Genomic DNA, 19639 nt, shown 5'->3' with positions numbered 1-19639 from the left:
AGTCCTAAAATAGTTGTTTTGGCAGTTTTGCCCTGTTTTATCTTTGCCTTTTGGGAAGAAAAAGATTGCTGATTTTCTCACTCAGACATTCTGCAAATCTTTTCAAATGTGTGTCTTTTTTTTTTTTTTTTTTCAGACAGAGTCTCACTCTTTGCCCAGGCTGAAGTACAGTGGTGTGATCTCGGCTCACCGCAACCGCCGCTTCCCAGGTTCAAGTGGTTCTCCTGCCTCAGCCTCCCAAGTAGTTGGGACTACAGGCATGCGCCACCACGCCTGGCTAATTTTTGTTTTTTTAGTAGAGTTCACCATATTGGCCAGGCTGGTCACGAACTCCTGGCCTCAAGTGATCCACCTGCCTCAGCTTCCCAAAGTGCTGGGATTACAGGCATGAGCCATTGCGCCTGGCCAAATGTGTGTCTTTTTTATCTATTAATTTATGACACTTTTGAAAGAACCAAGGCAAGCTTTGATTCAGAAAAAAGAGAAAAGAGAGACAGGAATTTGAGAAAGAAAGTGGAAAGCACTAGCATAACCAAAACCAGAGAAAAGTTTTGTCTTGAATTACATCTTTTATTTTATTTTATGTATGTATGTATGTATGTATGTATGTATGTATGTATGTATGTATGTATGTTGAGACGAAGTCTCACTCTTTTACCCAGGCTTGAGTGCAGTGGCGCAATCTCGGCTCACTGCAACCTCCGCCTCCCGAGTTCAAGTGATTCTCCTGCCTTAGCCTCTTGAGTAGCTGGGATTACAGGCATGCGCCATCACGCCTGGCTAATTTTTGTATTTTTAGTAGAGACAGGGTTTCACCATATTGGCCAGGCTGGTCTTGAATTCCTGACCTCAGGTCATCTGCCCACCCAGGTCTCCCAAAGTGCTGGAATTACAGGCGTGAACCACCAAGCCCTGGCCTTGTCTTAGATACATTATATCTAACCCCAAACTTGTAACTAAAATTAAGTTGAGGTCACAGCTGAGTTCATGTCCTAAACTCTGGAGGCAGAAGTTCTAGGTGATTGCCAGGTACTGTGGCTTGCACCTGTAACACCAGCAACTCAGGCAGGGAGGCTGAGGTGGGTGGATTGTTTGAGCCAAGGAAGTTGAGGCTGCAGTAATCGTGCCACTGCACTCCAGCCTGGGAAACAAGGAGATCCCCTCTCAACAAAAAAAGAAAGAAAAACTTCTAGGTGATTGTGTGAAAAGAGTCATTCTTTAAAAATAATACTGTTTATTTTAGAGCTAAAGTTTTCAGATTAATCTTTATCTTATATTTAATTAGTTATAGTTAATCTAGGCTAAATTCCTTAGATTTAAACATAGATAGAACACAATGCAAAAGAAAAAAATGCCATCTCACTGTTTTATGTTTTGTTCTTCAGTATCTAGAGGTACTCTATGGAAATCTTGGAAAGAAAGAGTTATAAAACGACCTTCAACAGCCCGTGCTTTAAGACCAGATCAGATGATTAGTGATCAACTTGCAACAAATACAAAGGTTTCAGAAATCCAAGGTATGCTACAGGAACTCATAGGCACCACAATGTTCAGTACATTGGAAAACAATGCTATTAAATATATATCATCAACAATAGTAAACCTTTCTACAGCTTTGAGTATGCTAAATGATGAATTAAAATGTGTTAACTTCCAAAGTTCCACTGTGTATGCACATGAGACAAGTGAAGCAGAAAAGGAGCTCTCTCTGAAGATAATACGAGATCTCAGTAACGAAAATGAAATGCTTCAGCAGAAACTTCAAGATGCAGAAGAAAAATGTGAACAACTTATTCGATCCAAAATTGTTATAGAACAACTATATGCAAAATTGTCCACATCATCAACCTTGAAAGTGTTACCTGGACCTTCTCCACAGTCATCCAGGGCGATAATCAAAGTTGGTGATACTGAGGACAATATGGACAATATTTTAGACAAGGAACTTGAAAATATTGTAGATGAAGTCCAAAGAAAAGAGACCAAGGACTCTGGGATAAAATGGGACTCCACTATTTCATATACAGCCCAAGCTGAAAGAACTCCAGATTTAACTGAACTACGACAGCAACCTGTTGCTTCTGAAGATATTTCCGAAGACAGCACTAAAGATAACGTATCATTGAAGAAAGGTGATTTCTATCAGGAAGATGAGACTGATGAGTATCAATCATGGAAAAGAAGCCACAAAAAAGCCACATATGTATATGAGACCTCTGGACCAAATCTGAGTGATAATAAAAGTGGACAGAAAGTCTCAGAGGCCAAACCTAGTCAATACTATGAGCTACAAGTACTGAAAAAGAAAAGAAAAGAAATGAAATCCTTTTCTGAAGATAAATCAAAGTCACCCACTGAAGCAAAAAGAAAACATCTCTCTTTAACTGAAACAAAGAGCCAAGGTGGCAAAAGTGGAACAAGTATGATGATGTTGGAGCAATTTAGGAAGGTCAAACGTGAATCTCCATTTGACAAACGTCCAACTGCAGCAGAGATTAAAGTGGAACCCACCACTGAGTCATTGGACAAAGAGGGCAAAGGTGAAATTAGAAGCCTAGTGGAGCCACTCAGTATGATCCAATTTGATGATACTGCTGAGCCACAGAAAGGAAAAATAAAAGGAAAGAAACACCATATCTCTTCAGGAACTATCACAAGCAAAGAAGAAAAAACTGAAGAGAAGGAAGAGTTGACCAAACAAGTCAAGTCTCATCAACTTGTTAAATCACTCTCAAGAGTGGCTAAAGAGACTTCAGAATCTACCAGAGTTCTAGAAAGTCCAGATGGCAAAAGTGAACAGAGTAACCTCGAAGAATTTCAGGAAGCCATAATGGCTTTCCTAAAACAGAAAATTGATAACATAGGAAAGGCTTTTGACAAAAAGACTGTTCCGAAGGAAGAGGAGTTATTAAAAAGAGCAGAAGCTGAAAAATTAGGAATCATAAAGGCAAAAATGGAGGAATATTTCCAAAAAGTGGCTGAAACTGTGACTAAAATCTTGAGAAAATACAAAGATACAAAAAAGGAAGAACAAGTTGGAGAGAAACCTATAAAACAAAAAAAGGTAGTCTCATTTATGCCAGGATTGCATTTTCAGAAGTCACCAATTAGTGCAAAATCTGAAAGCAGTACCCTCCTCTCATATGAGAGCACAGATCCAGTAATTAACAATTTAATACAAATGATCTTGGCTGAAATAGAAAGTGAAAGAGATATTCCAACAGTCTCAACAGTACAGAAAGACCACAAGGAGAAGGAAAAACAAAGGCAGGAGCAATATTTGCAAGAGGGTCAAGAACAAATGTCTGGCATGAGTCTCAAACAGCAGTTGCTGGGAGAAAGAAATCTCTTGAAGGAGCACTATGAGAAGATAAGTGAGAATTGGGAAGAAAAAAAGGCATGGCTCCAGATGAAGGAGGGAAAGCAAGAACAACAGAGCCAGAAACAGTGGCAGGAAGAAGAGATGTGGAAGGAAGAGCAAAAACAGGCAACTCCAAAGCAGGCTGAGCAAGAGGAAAAGCAAAAGCAAAGAGGACAGGAGGAAGAAGAGCTTCCAAAGTCAAGCCTGCAGCGGCTGGAAGAAGGGACCCAAAAAATGAAAACACAAGGGTTGCTCTTGGAAAAGGAGAATGGACAGATGAGGCAGATTCAGAAGGAAGCGAAACATTTGGGGCCACACAGGAGAAGGGAGAAAGGGAAGGAAAAGCAGAAGCCAGAGAGAGGGCTAGAGGACCTCGAAAGGCAGATCAAAACAAAGGATCAGATGCAGATGAAGGAAACACAACCTAAAGAGCTAGAAAAAATGGTCATCCAAACTCCAATGACATTATCTCCCAGGTGGAAGAGTGTATTGAAAGATGTACAGCGGTCATATGAAGGAAAAGAGTTTCAGAGGAATCTGAAGACATTAGAGAACCTTCCTGATGAAAAGGAGCCCATATCAATCACACCTCCCCCCTCCCTACAATACTCCCTGCCTGGAGCTCTTCCTATTTCTGGCCAGCCTCTCACTAAATGCATTCATCTCACACCTCAGCAGGCCCAGGAAGTGGGGATCACACTCACTCCTCAGCAGGCCCAGGCTCAGGGGATCACGCTCACCCTTCAGCAGGCCCAGGAACTAGGGATCCCTCTCACCCCTCAGCAGGCCCAGGCCCTGGAGATCCTTTTCACCCCTCAGCAGGCGCAGGCCCTGGGGATCCCTCTCACCCCTCAGCAGACCCAGGTTCAAGGGATCACTCTCACCCCTCAGCAGGACCAGGCCCCGGGGATCTCTCTCACCACTCAGCAGGCTCAGAAACTAGGGATCCCTCTTACCCCTCAGCAGGCCCAGGCCCTGGGGATCCCTCTCACCCCTCAGCAGGCTCAGGAATTGGGGATCCCTCTCACCCCTCAGCAGGCCCAGGCCCTGAGGGTCTCTCTCACCCCTCAGCAGGCTCAGGAATTGGGGATCCCTCTCACCCCTCAGCAGGCCCAGGCCCTGGGGATCACTCTAACCCTTCAGCAGGCCCAGCAATTGGGGATCCCTCTCACCCCTCAGCAGGCGCAGGCTCTCGGAATCACTCTCACCCCTAAGCAGGTTCAGGAACTGGGGATCCCTCTTACTCCTCAGCAGGCCCAGGCCCTGGGGATCACTCTCACCCCTAAGCAGGCTCAGGAATTGGGGATCCCTCTCAACCCTCAGCAGGCCCAGACCCTGGGGATCCCTCTCACCCCTAAGCAGGCACAGGCTCTGGGGATCCCTTTCACCCCTCAGCAGGCGCAGGCCCTGGGGATCCCTCTCACCCCTCAGCAGGCGCAGACTCAGGAGATCACTCTCACCCCTCAGCAGGCCCAGGCCTTGGGGATGCCTCTCACCACTCAGCAGGCTCAGGAACTGGGGATCCCTCTCACCCCTCAGCACGCTCAGGCCTTGGGGATGCCTCTCACCACTCAGCAGGCTCAGGAACTGGGGATCCCTCTCACCCCTCAGCAGGCTCAGGCCTTGGGGATGCCTCTCACCACTCAGCAGGCTCAGGAACTGGGGATCCCTCTCACCCCTCAGCAGGCTCAGGAATTGGGGATCCCTTTCACCCCTCAGCAGGCACAGGCTCAGGAGATCACTCTCACCCCTCAGCAGGCCCAGGCCCTGGGGATGCCTCTCACCGCTCAGCAGGCTCAGGAGCTGGGGATCACTCTCACCCCTCAGCAGGCTCAGGAATTGGGGATCCCTCTCACCCCTCAGCAGGCCCAGGCCCTGGGGATCCCTCTCATCCCTCCGCAGGCTCAGGAATTGGGGATCCCTCTCACCCCTCAGCAGGCCCAGGCCCTGGGGATCCTTCTCATCCCTCCGCAGGCTCAGGAATTGGGGATCCCTCTCACCCCTCAGCAGGCCCAGGCCCTGGGGATCCCTCTGATCCCTCCGCAGGCTCAGGAATTGGGGATCCCTCTCACCCCTCAGCAGGTCCAGGCCCTGGGGATCCCTCTCATCCCTCCGCAGGCTCAGGAATTGGAGATCCCTCTCACCCCTCAGCAGGCCCAGGCCCTGGGGATCCCTCTCACCCCTCAGCAGGCGCAGGAACTGGGGATCCCTCTCACCCCTCAGCAGGCGCAGGAACTGGGGATCCCTCTCACCCCTCAGCAGGCGCAGGCTCAGGGGATCCCTCTCACCCCTCAGCAGGCCCAGGCTCTGGGGATCTCTCTCACCCCTCAGCAGGCGCAGGCTCAGGGGATCACTCTCACCCCTCAGCAGGCCCAGGCACTGGGAGTCCCCATCACCCCAGTAAATGCCTGGGTGTCAGCTGTCACTCTTACCTCTGAGCAAACCCACGCTTTGGAGTCCCCTATGAACTTAGAACAGGCTCAAGAACAGTTATTGAAGTTAGGGGTTCCTCTCACCTTAGATAAAGCCCATACCTTGGGATCGCCCCTCACCCTTAAGCAAGTCCAGTGGTCCCATAGACCATTTCAGAAATCGAAGGCTTCTCTCCCCACTGGGCAATCCATCATATCAAGATTGTCTCCAAGTCTTAGGCTGTCCCTGGCATCATCAGCTCCTACTGCTGAGAAGTCCTCTATATTCGGGGTCTCTTCTACTCCTTTGCAGATATCAAGGGTTCCCCTCAACCAAGGCCCCTTTGCCCCTGGGAAGCCCCTAGAAATGGGGATTCTTTCTGAGCCTGGGAAGCTTGGGGCACCACAGACTCTTCGTTCCTCTGGACAGACCCTGGTATACGGAGGTCAATCCACTTCTGCGCAGTTCCCGGCACCACAGGCCCCTCCCTCCCCTGGGCAGCTCCCAATATCTCGGGCCCCTCCCACTCCAGGGCAGCCCTTTATAGCTGGAGTTCCACCCACTTCTGGACAGATTCCAAGTCTCTGGGCTCCTCTTTCTCCTGGGCAGCCCTTAGTTCCTGAAGCCTCTTCCATCCCTGGGGACCTCCTGGAATCTGGACCCTTAACCTTCTCTGAGCAGCTCCAGGAATTCCAGCCTCCTGCCACTGCTGAGCAATCTCCCTATCTGCAGGCTCCTTCTACCCCTGGGCAGCATCTGGCAACATGGACCCTTCCTGGGCGAGCTTCTTCATTATGGATCCCTCCCACCTCTAGACATCCTCCCACACTATGGCCGTCCCCAGCCCCTGGAAAGCCCCAGAAAAGTTGGTCCCCTTCTGTTGCTAAGAAAAGATTGGCAATTATTTCTTCTCTGAAATCTAAATCAGTATTGATCCATCCTAGTGCTCCAGATTTCAAGGTAGCTCAAGTTCCTTTCACCACTAAGAAGTTCCAAATGTCGGAGGTCTCTGACACTTCCGAAGAAACCCAGATACTTCGAGACACTTTTGCTATAGAATCATTTAGAACATTTCAGTCCCATTTCACCAAATATAGGACACCAGTATACCAAACCCCTTACACTGATGAAAGGGCCCTTCTCACTCTCATGAAGCCAACAACATCACCATCTTCTCTCACTACTCTACTCAGAACATCACAGATTTCACCTTTGGAATGGTACCAGAAATCCCGATTCCCTCCTATAGACAAGCCCTGGATACTGAGTTCAGTTTCAGATACCAAGAAACCCAAAGTAATGGTGCCCCCTTCCTCTCCTCAAGAACTTGAAGAAAAGAGGTATTTTGTTGATGTGGAGGCTCAGAAGAAGAACCTGATACTATTAAATCAGGCTATAAAAACTTGTGGACTCCCTTCACAGCTACACACAATGGCTAGGACTCTCATAATTGAGATACTTCATATGGACACAGTTCAGTTGGGATACTTATTCCGCAAGTACATTGCCTATAGGCTGATCCAGCATGCCAGGTAGATATAATTATTTACGTCTAGTTTTCTGGTTTAGTTCTGATTGCAAATATTTTCTGTCATTGTCCCAGAAGTATATTCATATTTGTCAGGCCATATGTTCTAAAGGACTGCCTTATATAAGGTCTATGGGAAGGAAGCTTGTTTAAGATAGCAAAAGGAGATATATTTTTTGGAAAATAAGAAATGACATATAACGTGATCCATTTCATCCATATATATCTCCAGCGGAGATGCCAAGTATATTTTGTGGATCATGGTTGGTCTCCAAAACATCAATTTCAAAAGTTTCCAGTTATTCTGAATTTCTTTCATCATTTTTGGTTCACCAGAAATGTATGATTTTTAAAATGGGAGATGGCATAAAAAAAGAATGAGACCAGGCATAGTGTCTCATGCCTGTAATCCCAGCACTTTGGGAGGCTGAGGCAGGTGGATAACTTGAGGCCAGGAGTTCAAGACCAGCCTGGCCAACATGGCGAAATCCCATCTCTGCAAAAAATTCAAAAATTAGACAGGCATGGTTGCGTGCACCTGTAATCCCAGGATTACTTGGGAGGCTAGGGCAGGAGAATCGCTTGAACCCGGGAGGTGGAAGTTGCAATAAGCCGATCATGCCACTACACTCCAGCCTGGGTGAGAGAGTCAGCCTCTGTCTCAAAATAATAATAATAATAATAAAAAGAGATCCTGCCATTTGCAACAACATGAATGGAACTAGAGGTCATTATATTAAATGAAATAAGCTGAGCACAGAAAGACAAACTTCACATGCTCTCACTTATTTGTGGGAGCTAAAAATTAAAGCAATTGAACTAATGGACATAGAGTAGAAGGATGGGACAGGTGCAGTGACTCACGCCTGTAATCCCAGCACTTTGGAAGTCTGAGGGGGGAGGATCACTTGAGCCCAGGGGTTTGAGACAAGCCTGGACAACAAATTGAGACCCTGTCTCTACATGATGGTGCATGCCTGTAGTCCCAGCTACTCAGGAAGCTGAGCTTGGAGGATCACTCAAGCCCCAGGAGGTTGAGACTGCAGTAAACCAAGATCGCGCCACTGCACTCCAGCCTGGGTGACAGAGCAAGACCCAGTCTCAGGGAAAAAAAAAAGAGAAGGATGGTTACCATAGGCTAGAAAGGGTAGTGGGGGTGGGGGGAAAGTAGGGATGGTTAATGGGTACAAAAAAATAGAAAGAATGAATAAGATTTAGCATTTGAAAGCACAACAGGGTGATTATAGTCAATAATAATGTAATTGTACATTTAAAAATAACAGAGTATAATTGGATTATTGGATTGTTTGTAACACAAAGGATAAATGCTTGATGCAATGGATACCTCATTTACCTTAATATGATTATTACACATTGCATTCCTGTATCAAAACATCTCCTGTACCCCCAAAATATATATACCTACTATGTACCCACAAAAAAATTTTTTAATGAAAAGAAAAACAAACAAAAAAATGGCCACGCGTGGTTGCTCACATCTGTAATCACAGTACTTTGGGAGGCCGAGGCAGGTGGATCACGAGTTCATGAGTTCAAGACCAGCCTGGCCAATATGGTGAAACCCCATCTCTTCTAAACTACAAAAATTAGCCGGGCATGGTGGCACGTGCCTGGAATCCCAGCTACTTGGGAGGCTGGGCAGGAGAATTGCTTGAACCCAGGAGGCAGAGCTTGCAGTGAGCCGAGATTGAGCCGCTGGACTCCAGCCAGCGGGGCAGAGCAAGACTCCATCTCAGGAAAAAATAAAAAATAAACAGAAAAGACAAATAAAAAAATACAAGTAAATATAGGCAGGGTGCAGTGGCTCATGCCTGTAACCCCAGCACTTTGGGATGCCAAGGCAGGTGGGTTACTTGAGGTCAGGAGTTCGAGACCACCCTGGCCAACATGGTGAAACCTCATCTCTATTAAAAAAAATACAAAAAATCAGCTGGCCAACATGGTGAAACCCCTTCTCTACTAAAAATACAAAAATTAGCTGGGTGTGGTGGGCAACTGTAATCCCATCACTTTGGGAGGCTGAGGCAGGCAGACCACCTGAGGTCAGGAGTTCGAGACCAGCCTGGCCAACATGGTGAAACACTATCCCTACTAAAAATACAAAAATTAGCTGGGCATGGTGGCACACACCTCCAGCTACTCAGGACGCTGAGGCAGGAGAATCGTTTGAACCCGGGAGGTGGAGGTTGCAGTGAGCAGAGATTGCGCCATTGCACTCCAGCCTGGGCAACGGGGTGAGACTCCATCTCAAAAAAAAAAAAAAAAAAAAAAAATTACCAGGCATTGTGGCTCACACCTGTAGTCCCAGCTACTCAGGAGGCTGAGGCAGAAGAATTGCTTGAACCCGAGAGGCAGAGGTTGCAGTGAGGCAAGACTGTGCCGTCGTCTCAAAAAAACAACAAAAAAACAAAACAAAAGAAACAAAGGGAGATGGCAGATTATGTAGGAGGTTGTTGCCATGGCAAATTTGCTGTTGGGGTGACCTGGAGGCAGCAGGCAGCAGGTCCTGGTCCTGATTTTTAAAAGTTGCAAATATCAGAAATGGATTAGGGCAGGTAACAATTTTCCTGCCATTCTTAACATTTGCATTTGAAGTTACCAACCTATTATTTCGGGGAATTTTTTTTTTTTTTGAGATGGAGTCTCCCTCTTTTGCCTCCTGGGTTCAAGCGATTCTCCTGCCCTCAGCCTCTAGAGTAGCTGGAGGTGTGTGCCACCATGCCCAGCTAATTTTTGTATTTTTAGTAGGGATGGGGTTTCACCATGTTGGCCAGGCTGGTCTCGAACTCCTGACCTCAGGTGGTCCACCTGCCTCAGCCTCCCAAAGTGCTGGGATTACAGGTGTGAGCCACCGCGCCCAGCTATTATTTTCTATTGATCTGCCTATTGATAAGTCACTTCCAGTCTCTGTTATTTTCGTTTTATTTTTATGATGCTGAGTCTTTGAGGTCTTTATTAGTGCTGTTTGCCAGCACTTGTCAATGAGATGTGAGCAGAATTGATACGTTATTTCTGTGCTGAGCTTGTCTTTGTTGGTTTGATGACCTACAGAGTTTCCTTTTCCTCTGGCATAGTAACCCACAATGTTCAAGGTGATTGTTGTTCCTTTACACATGTCCCTGAAAGAATACAGTGAAGTTCACTCCCTGCCAAGCCATGATGGATTCGTAGTATGAGCAACAAGTGAATTTTTTTGTTGTTTTAAGCCACTGAGGCTTGGGAGTTTTGTTAAAATAGCAAAACCTAGCTTATATTCACTAATAGAGTCTTCCTATCCAAGAATATGGTATATCTATTTTTTTTTTTTTTTTTTTGAGACAGAGTCTTACTCTGTCACCCAAGCCAATTATACATCTTTTTTTTGTTGTTCGGGTTTGTGTGTGTGTGTGTGTGTGCATGTGTGACCACATATGCAAAAAATTTTGATTTTTGTATGTTTATTTTATTTTATTTTATTTTATTTTTGAAACAGAGTGTCGCTCTGCTGCCCAGGCTGGAGTGCAGTGGGGCAATCTCCACTCACTGCAAGCTCTGCCTCCCGCATTCACGCCATTCTCCTGCCTCAGCCTCCCGAGTAGCTGGGACTACAGGCGCCCACCACCACGCCTGGCTAATTTTTTGTATTTTTAGTAGAGACGGGGTTTCACCGTGTTAGCCAGGATGGTCTCGATCTCCTGACCTCGTGATCCACCCGCTTCGGCCTCCCAAAGTGCTGGGATTACAGGCGTGAGCCACCACGCCCGGCGATTTTTGTATGTTTAAATAAATGTATAAAACAGATACAGGGCTGGGTGCGGTGGCTCATGCCTGTAATCTCCCAACACTGTAGGAGGCTGAGGTGGGCAGATCACCCAAGGTCAGGAGTTCACCTGGCCTACATGATGAAACCCTGTCTCTAATAAAAATACAAAAATTAGCTGGGCATGGTGGTGTGTGCCTGTAATCCCAGATACTCGGGTGGCTGAGGCAGGAGAATTGCTTGAACCCGGGAGGCAGAGATTGCAGTGAGCTGAGATGGCGCCACCACTACATTCCATTCTGTATGACTTTCTTTCTTTCTTTCTTTCTTTCTTTTTTTCTTTCTTTCTTTCCTTCTCTCTCTCTCTCTCTTTCTTTCTTTCTTTCCTTTCTTCTTTTTTTTTTTGGCGGGGTCTGGCTTTGTCGCCCAGCTGGAGTGCAGTGGTGCAATCTTGGCTCACTGCAACTTCTGCCTCACAGACTGAAGCAATCCTTCTACACAGCCTCCTGAGTAGCTGGGACTATAGGCACACGCCACCACGCCCGGCTAACTTTTGTATTTTTTTTTTTTTTTTTGAGGCAAAGTCTCGCTCTTGTCCCCCAGGCTGGAGTGCAATGGCACCATATAATACTATTCAAAGTAGTCTACAGATTCAATGATATTCCTATTAAACTACCAATGTCATTTTTCACTACATTAGAAAAAACTATTGTAAAATTCATATGGAACCAAAAAAGAGCCCAAATAGCCAAAGCCATCCTAAGCAAAAACAACAAAGCTGGAGGCATATTACATTATCCAACTTCAAACTATACTATAAGGCTACAGTAACCAAAACAACATTGTACTGGTACAAAAACAGACACATAGATCAATGGAACAGAATAGAGAACCCAGAAATAAAGCCCCATACCCACAATCATCTAATTGTGGACAAAGTCAACAAAAACAAGCAATGAGGAAAGGACTCTCTGTCCAATAAATGATGCTGGGACAGCTGGCTGGCCATATGCAGAAGAATGAAATTGCATCCCTACCTTTCACCATATACAAAAATTAACTCGAGATGGATTAAAGATTTAAATGTAAGACCTCAAACTATACAAATCCTAGAAGAAAACCTAGGAAATACCATTCTGTTTCTTTTTTTGTTTTTATTTATGTATTAGAGACAGAGTTTTTGCTCTGTTGCCCAGGTTGGAGGGCAGTGGCACGATCTCACCTCACTGCAACCTCTGCCTCCTGAGTTCAAGCCATTCTCCTGCCTCAGCCTTGCTAACAGATGTTAGCAAGGCTGCAGAGAAAAGGAATGCTTATACGCTGTTAATGAGAATGTAAATTAGCTCAGCCACTGTGGAAAGTAGTTTGAAGATTTCTTGTTTTTATGGTGGTGGTGGTGTTTTGTTTTTGTTTTTTGTTTTGTTTTGTTTTTTAGACGAAGTTTTGCTCTTGTTGCCCACCCCTGGCTAATTTTTGTATTTTTAGTAAAGACAGAATTTCATCATATTGGTCAGGCTGGTCTCGAACTCCTGACTTCAGGTGATCTACCCGCCTTCGCCTCACACAGTGCTGGGATTACAGGCGTGAGCCACCGCGCTCGGCCTTGTTTTGTTTTTTGACATGGTCTCACTCTCTTGTCCAGGGCAATGATGGCTCACTGCAGTTTAGATCTCCTGGGCTCATGCAATTTTCCCATATCAGCCTCCGAGTAGCTGGGACTACAGGCCTATGCCATCATGCCTGGCTAATTTTTTAATTTTTTATTTTTTGTAGGGATAGGGTCTTACTATGTTTCCCAGGCTAGTCTTGAACTCCTGGGCTCAAGTTATCCTCCTGCCCCAGCCTCCCAAAATGTTGGGATTACAGGCCTGAGACAACATGCCCAGCTGAGATTTCTCGAAGAACTTAAAATAGATCTACCACTTGACCCAGCAATCCCATTACTGGGTATATATTCAAAGGAAAATAAATTATTATACCAAAAAGACACATGCACTTGTCTGCTCATTGCAGCATTATTCACAAAGACATGGAATCAACCTAGGTACACATCAGTGGTGGACTGGATAAAGAAAATGTGGTATATATACAACATATGGAATACTATGCTGCCATAAACAAGAACAAAATCATGTCCTTTGCAGCAAATGGATGCAGTTGGAGGCCATTATCCTAAACAAATTAACAGAAGAACAGAAAACCAAATACCGACATTCTTGCTTATAAATGGAGCTAAATGTTGGGTACACAGGGACATAAAGATGGGAACAACAGACACTGGGGACCACTAGTAGGGGAGAGAGGAAGTGGGACAAGGTTTGAAAAACTACCTATTGGGTACTATGGTCATAACCTGCGTGATGGGATCATTTGTACCCCAAATCTCAGCATCATGCAATATAACCATGTAACAAACCTGCATATGTACCCTCTGAATCTAAAGTAAAAGTTGAACTTACTAAAATAAAAAAGAAAAGTTGAATTAAACCAAATTCAATTTGAAAAAAAAAAAAAAATAGACTGGCTGGGTGTGGTGGCTTATCCTGTAATCCTAGTACTTTGGGAGGCCAAGGTGGTGAATCACTTGAATCCAGGAGTTCGAGACCAGCCTGGCCAACATGGTGAAACCCCATCTCTACAAAAAAAAAAAAAAAGGCTGGGTGTGGTGGCTCACACCTATAATCCCAGCACTTTGGGAGGCCAAGGCAGGCAGATCACGAGGTCAGGAGAATGAGGACTATCCTGGCTAACACAGTGAAACCCCGTCTCTACTAAAAATACAAAAAATTAGCTGGGCATGGTGGCGGGCGCCTGTAGTCCCAGCTACTCTGGAGGCTGAGGCAGGAGAATGGCTTGAACCCGGGAGGTGGAGGTTGCAGTGAGCCGAGATTGCACCACTGCACTCCAGCCTGGGTGACGGAGCGAGACTCCGTCTCAAAGAAAAAAAAGAAAAAAGAGAGAGAAAACAAAAACCCATGGATTAGCTGGGTTCGCTGTAGTCCCAGCTACTCAGGAAGCTGAGGCATGAGAATTGCTTGAGCCCGGGAGACGGAGGTTGCAATGAGCCAAGATCGCACCACTGCACCACTGCACTCCAGCCTGGGCAACAGAGCAAGACTCTGTCTCAGAAAACAGCAACAACAGCAACAACAATAAAAAAACCCTGAATGTTCAATTTTGTTAAATAATGTGATTTGAGCACTTTATTTTCACATGTATTAAAGAAAATGTGGGCTGGGAAGGTGGCTTATGCTTGTAATCACAGCACCTTGGGAAGCTAAGGCGGGAGGATTGCTTGAGGCCAGGAGTTTTGAGACCAGCCTGAACAACACATGGGGCCCCGTCTTTCTTTTTTCCTGAGATAGGGTCTCGCTATGTTGCCTGTGCTGGAGTGCAGTGGCGTGATCACTGTACACTGCAGTCTCAACTTCCCGGGTTTAAAATATCCTCCCACTTCAGCCTCCCCAGTAGCTAATTTTTAAACTTTTTGTAAAGATAGGGTCTCCTGTTGCCCAGGCTGGTCTTGAATTCCTAGGCTCAAATGATCCTACCACCTCGGCATCCCAAAGTGCTGGGATTACAGTTGTCAGCCACTGCACCCAGCCTGACTCCATCTTTAAAAAAAAAAAAAAAATTATCTAGTCTTGGTGGTGTGCACCTGTAGTCCCAGCTATTTGGAAAACTGAGACAGGAGGACTGCTTGAGCCCAGGAGTTCAAGGATGTGATGAGTTATGATCGTGTTGTGCCACTGCACTCCACCCTGGGTGACAGAGCGAGACATTGTCTCAAAAAAAAAAAAGGTCGGGAGCGGTGGCTCACGCCTGTAATCCCAGCACTTTGGGAGGCTGAGGCGGGTGGATCACGAGATCAGATCGAGACCATCCTGGCTAACATGGTGAAACCCTGTCTCTACTAAAAATACAAACAAAACTAGACAGATGTGGTAGCATGTAGCTGTAGTCCCAGCTACTCGGGAGGCTGAGGCCGGAAAATCACTTGAACCCAGGAGGCAGAGGTTGCAGTGAGCCGAGATCATGCCACTGCACTCCAGCCTGGGCAACAGAGCGAGACTCTCTCTCTAAAAAAAAATTTTAAAAAATAAAATAAAATAAAAAATAAAAAATAAAAAAGGAGATTTTTCCCCCTTAGTTCTATTAATATAATTATATTAAACCATCATTGCATTCCTGTCATAAATCCTATTTGTTCTACATGTAACATTCTTTGTTTTTTTGTTTTGTTTTGTTTTTGTTTTTGTTTTTTTTAAGACAAGAGTCTCACTTGGTTGCCCAGGCTGGAGTGCAGTGGCATGATCTCAGCTCACTGCAACCTCTGCCTCCCAGGTTCAAGCAATTCTCTTGCATCAGCCTGTTTCAGCCTCCAGAGTAGCTGGGATTACAGGCACGCCGCCGCCATGCCTGGCTATTTTTTTTTTCCTTCCTTGACTATATTGTAGAATCACTATATTTTATTAAGGATTTTTCTCATTCATATTCATAAGTTAAGTTTGGCAGGCAGTTTACTTCTTATGGTATTATCTTTGTGAAGTTTTGGTATAATCTTAAGCTTGCATCATTAAAAAATGTGGAAGTTTATCTTTTGTGCTCTGAAACAATTTAATAGTAAAATTAGCTGTTCTTTTAAGGTTTGGCAGATTTCCCCTATGATATTACACTGGCTTAGTACTTTTTGAAGGGAGTTCTTTGACAGCTTTCTCTCAATTTTATCTTTTTTTTTGAGACGAAGTCTTGCTCTGTTGCCCAAGCTGGAGTGCAGGGGCACGATCTCAGCTCATTGCAACCTCCGCCTCCTGGGTTCAGGGAATTCTCCTGCATCAGCCTCCTGAGTAGCTGGGATTACAGATGCACATCACTACGCCCAGCTAATTTTTGTATTTTTAGTAGAGACAGGGTTTCACCATGTTGGCCAGGTTGGTCTCGAACTCCTGACCTCGTGATCTGCCCACCTTGGCCTCCCAAAGTGCTGGGATTACAGGTATGAGCCACTGTGTCAGGTCGCTTTCTCAATTTTTAGGATTCATTTAGATTTATTGAAGACTTTGAGAACCTAAGTAGCATAATCTGACCTGTCTCAGTAAAATCATTTAAAAATATGACTTTATACAATCATAACCTTAATCCCATCGAGGATCAATTCATTCTTTCAGAAAGCTCTTCTCTAATATTTAATGTTATAATAACAAAATCACAGACAGATGCAACAACAAATAAAATACTGAAAGATTAAAAATTTTATGACAAGGATGGCTAGGTCAAGAAGATTCTAATATTATATGTAAGAGAAAAATACTACAGTAATATAAACTGTTTTTGAATAAAGATTTCTGTAGAGCCTCTGTAAGTGAAGAATTCTACATTTAAGTGCTAAAATATAGTTTTAGAATTGTATTCCCTCATGATCGGTGAAATATATCTGAGAAGAGATGACAGGGAAGATGTAAAATTAGAAAAGATGAGCTGGGCGCGGTGGCTCATGCCTGTAATCCCAGCACTTTGGGAGGCCAAGGCAGGCAGATCACCTGAGGTCAGGAGTTTGAGAACAGCCTGGCCAACAAGGCAAAACCCCATCTCTACCAAAAATACAAAAATTAGCTGGGCATGATGGCGTGCACCTGTAATGCTGGCTACTTGGGAGGCTGAGGCAGGATAATCGCTTGAACTCGGGAGGCAGAAGTTGCAGTGAGCCCAGATCACACCATTGCACTCCAGCCTGGGCAACAGAGCAAGACTCTGTCTCAAAAAAAAAAAAAAATTAGAAAAGATGATGATAATTAGACATTTGTTTCCATATATATTGAAGAAAGTTCTCAATAGTACTAGATGTTGTGCTCTCTAGATAGCATCACTTAATTCATCAACATTTTTTTTTTTTTTAAAGAGACAGGGTCTTGCTCTATCAACCAGGCTGGAGTGCATTGGTGTGATCATAGCTCACCATAACGCCAAACTCCTGGGCCGAAGCGACCTGTGTGTGCCATCATGCCCAGCTAATTTTTGATATTTTTTTTAGCGATGGATCTCCCTCTGTTGCCCAGACTGGTCTTGAACTCCTGAGCTCAAGCAATCCTCCTGCCTTGGCCTCTCAAGCTACTGGGATCACAGGTGTGAGACACTGAGCTCGGCCCATCAACATTTAAAAAATATCCACCACTTGTGGGGACTGTGTTAGGTACAGGGATTAGAGGGTAGAAGGATACAAAGATGGATAAGCTACATCCCTGCTTTCAATGCACCTAGTCTCCTCAGAGAGACAGTCACACAAAGAGATGATTATATCGTATGATGTGGAAAGTACAATAATGGCGCATGTGCAGTTATAGAAGAGGACTGAGGAGAGGCGGGAGTTAGGTACAGCTTCTGGGAGTTCAGACCTCTGAACTGTGCCTCAAAGAACCAGTAAAAGTCAGTAAGACAGGCAGGGCACTGTGGCTCACGCCTGTAATCCCAGCACTTTGGGAGGCCGAGGTGGGTGGATTGCTTAAGGTCAGGAGTTTGAGACCAGCCTGACCAACATGGTGAAACCCTATCTCTACTAAAAATAAAAAAATTAGCCAGGCACGATGGCAGGTGCCTGTAATCCCAGCTACTTGGGAGGCTGTGGCAGGAGAATCGCTTGAACCCAGGAGGCGGTGGTTGCAGTGAACCGAGATTGCGCCACTGCACTCCAGCCTGGGTGACAGAGTAAGACTCTGTCTCAAAAAAAGAAAAAGTCAGGAAAACAAAGAAGTCAGAGAGTGTAGCAGAGTAAAGAAAGGCAGCAGGAAGAAGCTCTGTGTGTGTGTGTGTGTGTGTGTGTGTGTGTGTGTGTGTAAAGTACTTTGTGGCTAATACTTAGAACACAAAGAAAAAGCAAAATGTAGTAAGAGATGAGACTGGAAAGATAAAAGAGAGGCAAGATAAAAGAGAATCCTAAATCACATGCTAAGGAACTTGTATTTAATTCCGTACTTAATAGAGGATAACTAAAGAATTCTTAGCAAGGGAAGTAAAATGCCAGTAATGTGGAAGACAGATTTAAGAAGAGTAAAGCTCATACAGAGGCATAAATTAGGACTAGGTGGCATCCACCTAAATGTTTTGAAAGAATATAAGGGTGAGAGTAGAATTACTAGGAAAATATTTACAGTTGTTTTAAAAGGATTCTATGCTAAGGTGATATATCAACAGTGTAACTCCTACTAAACAAGGGCATCCATGCCAGGCAAGCTGGTGAAGTCTAAATAAAAAGTAAAATCAGCCCGGTCTGGTGGTACACGCCTGTAATCCCAGCACTTTGAGAGGCCAAAATGGAGGAATTGCTTGAGCCTAGGAGTTCAAGACCAGCCTGGGCAACATAGTGAGACCCTGTCTCTACAAAAATTATAAAAATTAGCCAGGCGTGGTGGTATGTATGCCTGTGGTCCCAGCTACTTGGTAGGCTGAGGTGGGAGGATCCCATGAGCCTGAGAGGTTGAGGTTGCAGTGAGCCATGGATGCACCACTACACTCCAGCCTGGGCAACACAGTGAGACCCTGTCTCAAAAAAAAAAATTACTACAGTCTTGAAACAGTAAAAATGGATAGACTAAAGGAAATATAAATTTTATAGGAGAATCATGCTAATCTAATCTGGAATTGTTGGAGGAAACACTGACAAGGAGAAACTAAATGAAAATAAATTATGTAAATTTAGTTATGTGCATACAGGGGCTTATAATGCATCTACAACAAACACAAACTTCAGATATATTATTGCATTTAACTGGAAGAATGGGAATCAGGTTCAGAAAGGTCATCCTATTTGCCCAAATCACACAGCTAATAATTGGTAGAAGTGAATTTTTAAAAATCCATTTCCAAAGTCTATATAGTATACTATACTACCTATTATACTACACTGTCTTAAAGTAGTAACTGTAATGGTTTTTATATTTAAATCCTAATCATGCTTTCTCTTAAACATAGACTTTGAAGTCAAGCAGATCTTGGTTCAAATTTCCAGAACTTCTCTGAGACTTAAATGTGTTGCATGTAAAATGGATATAATAATATTTACTTCAAATAATGGTTGAGGCCAGGCATGGTAGCTCATGCCTGTAATCCCAGCACTTTGGGAGGCTGAGGCGGGTGAATCACCTGAGGTCTGGAGTTCGAGACCAGCCTAGCCAACATGGTGAAACCCCGTCTCTGCTAAAAATACAAAAATTAGATGGGCGTGGTGGTGCAGCCTGTAATCTTAGCTACTCGGGAGGCTGAGGCAAGAGAATTGCTTGAACCCTGGAGGCGGAGGTTACAGAGAGTTGGGATTGCACCATTGTACTCCAGCCTGGGCAACAAGAGCGAAACTCTGTCTCAAAATAAAATAAAATGAAAGGTTGAAAGGGTTAAATAAAATAACATATGTAGCTTGCAGCACAACAGTAGTAGTACAGTAGTAGTATTACCATAGTAGATGCTCAGTAAATGTAAAGAATCTCTATCTAAAAATCAATATTCCTTAGGACGGGGCAATGTTTTATCAACGTAAGTGGGATTGGCTAAGACAGTGGAAACAAAAGGTAAGGAGGATGAATAGCCA

The 19639-nt window shown here is 44.7% G+C and overlaps 1 protein-coding gene across 1 annotated transcript in view; it reads left to right on the top strand.

Annotated features, from left to right (window-relative positions):
* FAM186A (family with sequence similarity 186 member A) overlaps window positions 1-19639 on the top strand; it is a 69301-nt gene that overhangs the window by 38976 nt on the left and 10686 nt on the right. The window contains exon 4 of the mRNA NM_001145475.3: window positions 1386-7305. Within this exon, the coding sequence (NP_001138947.1) occupies window positions 1386-7305 (5920 nt within the window). The remainder of the gene's footprint in view (window positions 1-1385; window positions 7306-19639) is intronic.

The sequence above is a fragment of the Homo sapiens genome, chromosome 12, assembly GCF_000001405.40.
Source record: "Homo sapiens chromosome 12, GRCh38.p14 Primary Assembly".
NCBI classification, from domain to species: Eukaryota; Metazoa; Chordata; class Mammalia; order Primates; family Hominidae; genus Homo; species Homo sapiens.
Note: the sequence above shows the minus strand (reverse complement) of the source record. Positions and strands in the feature narration are given on the sequence as shown.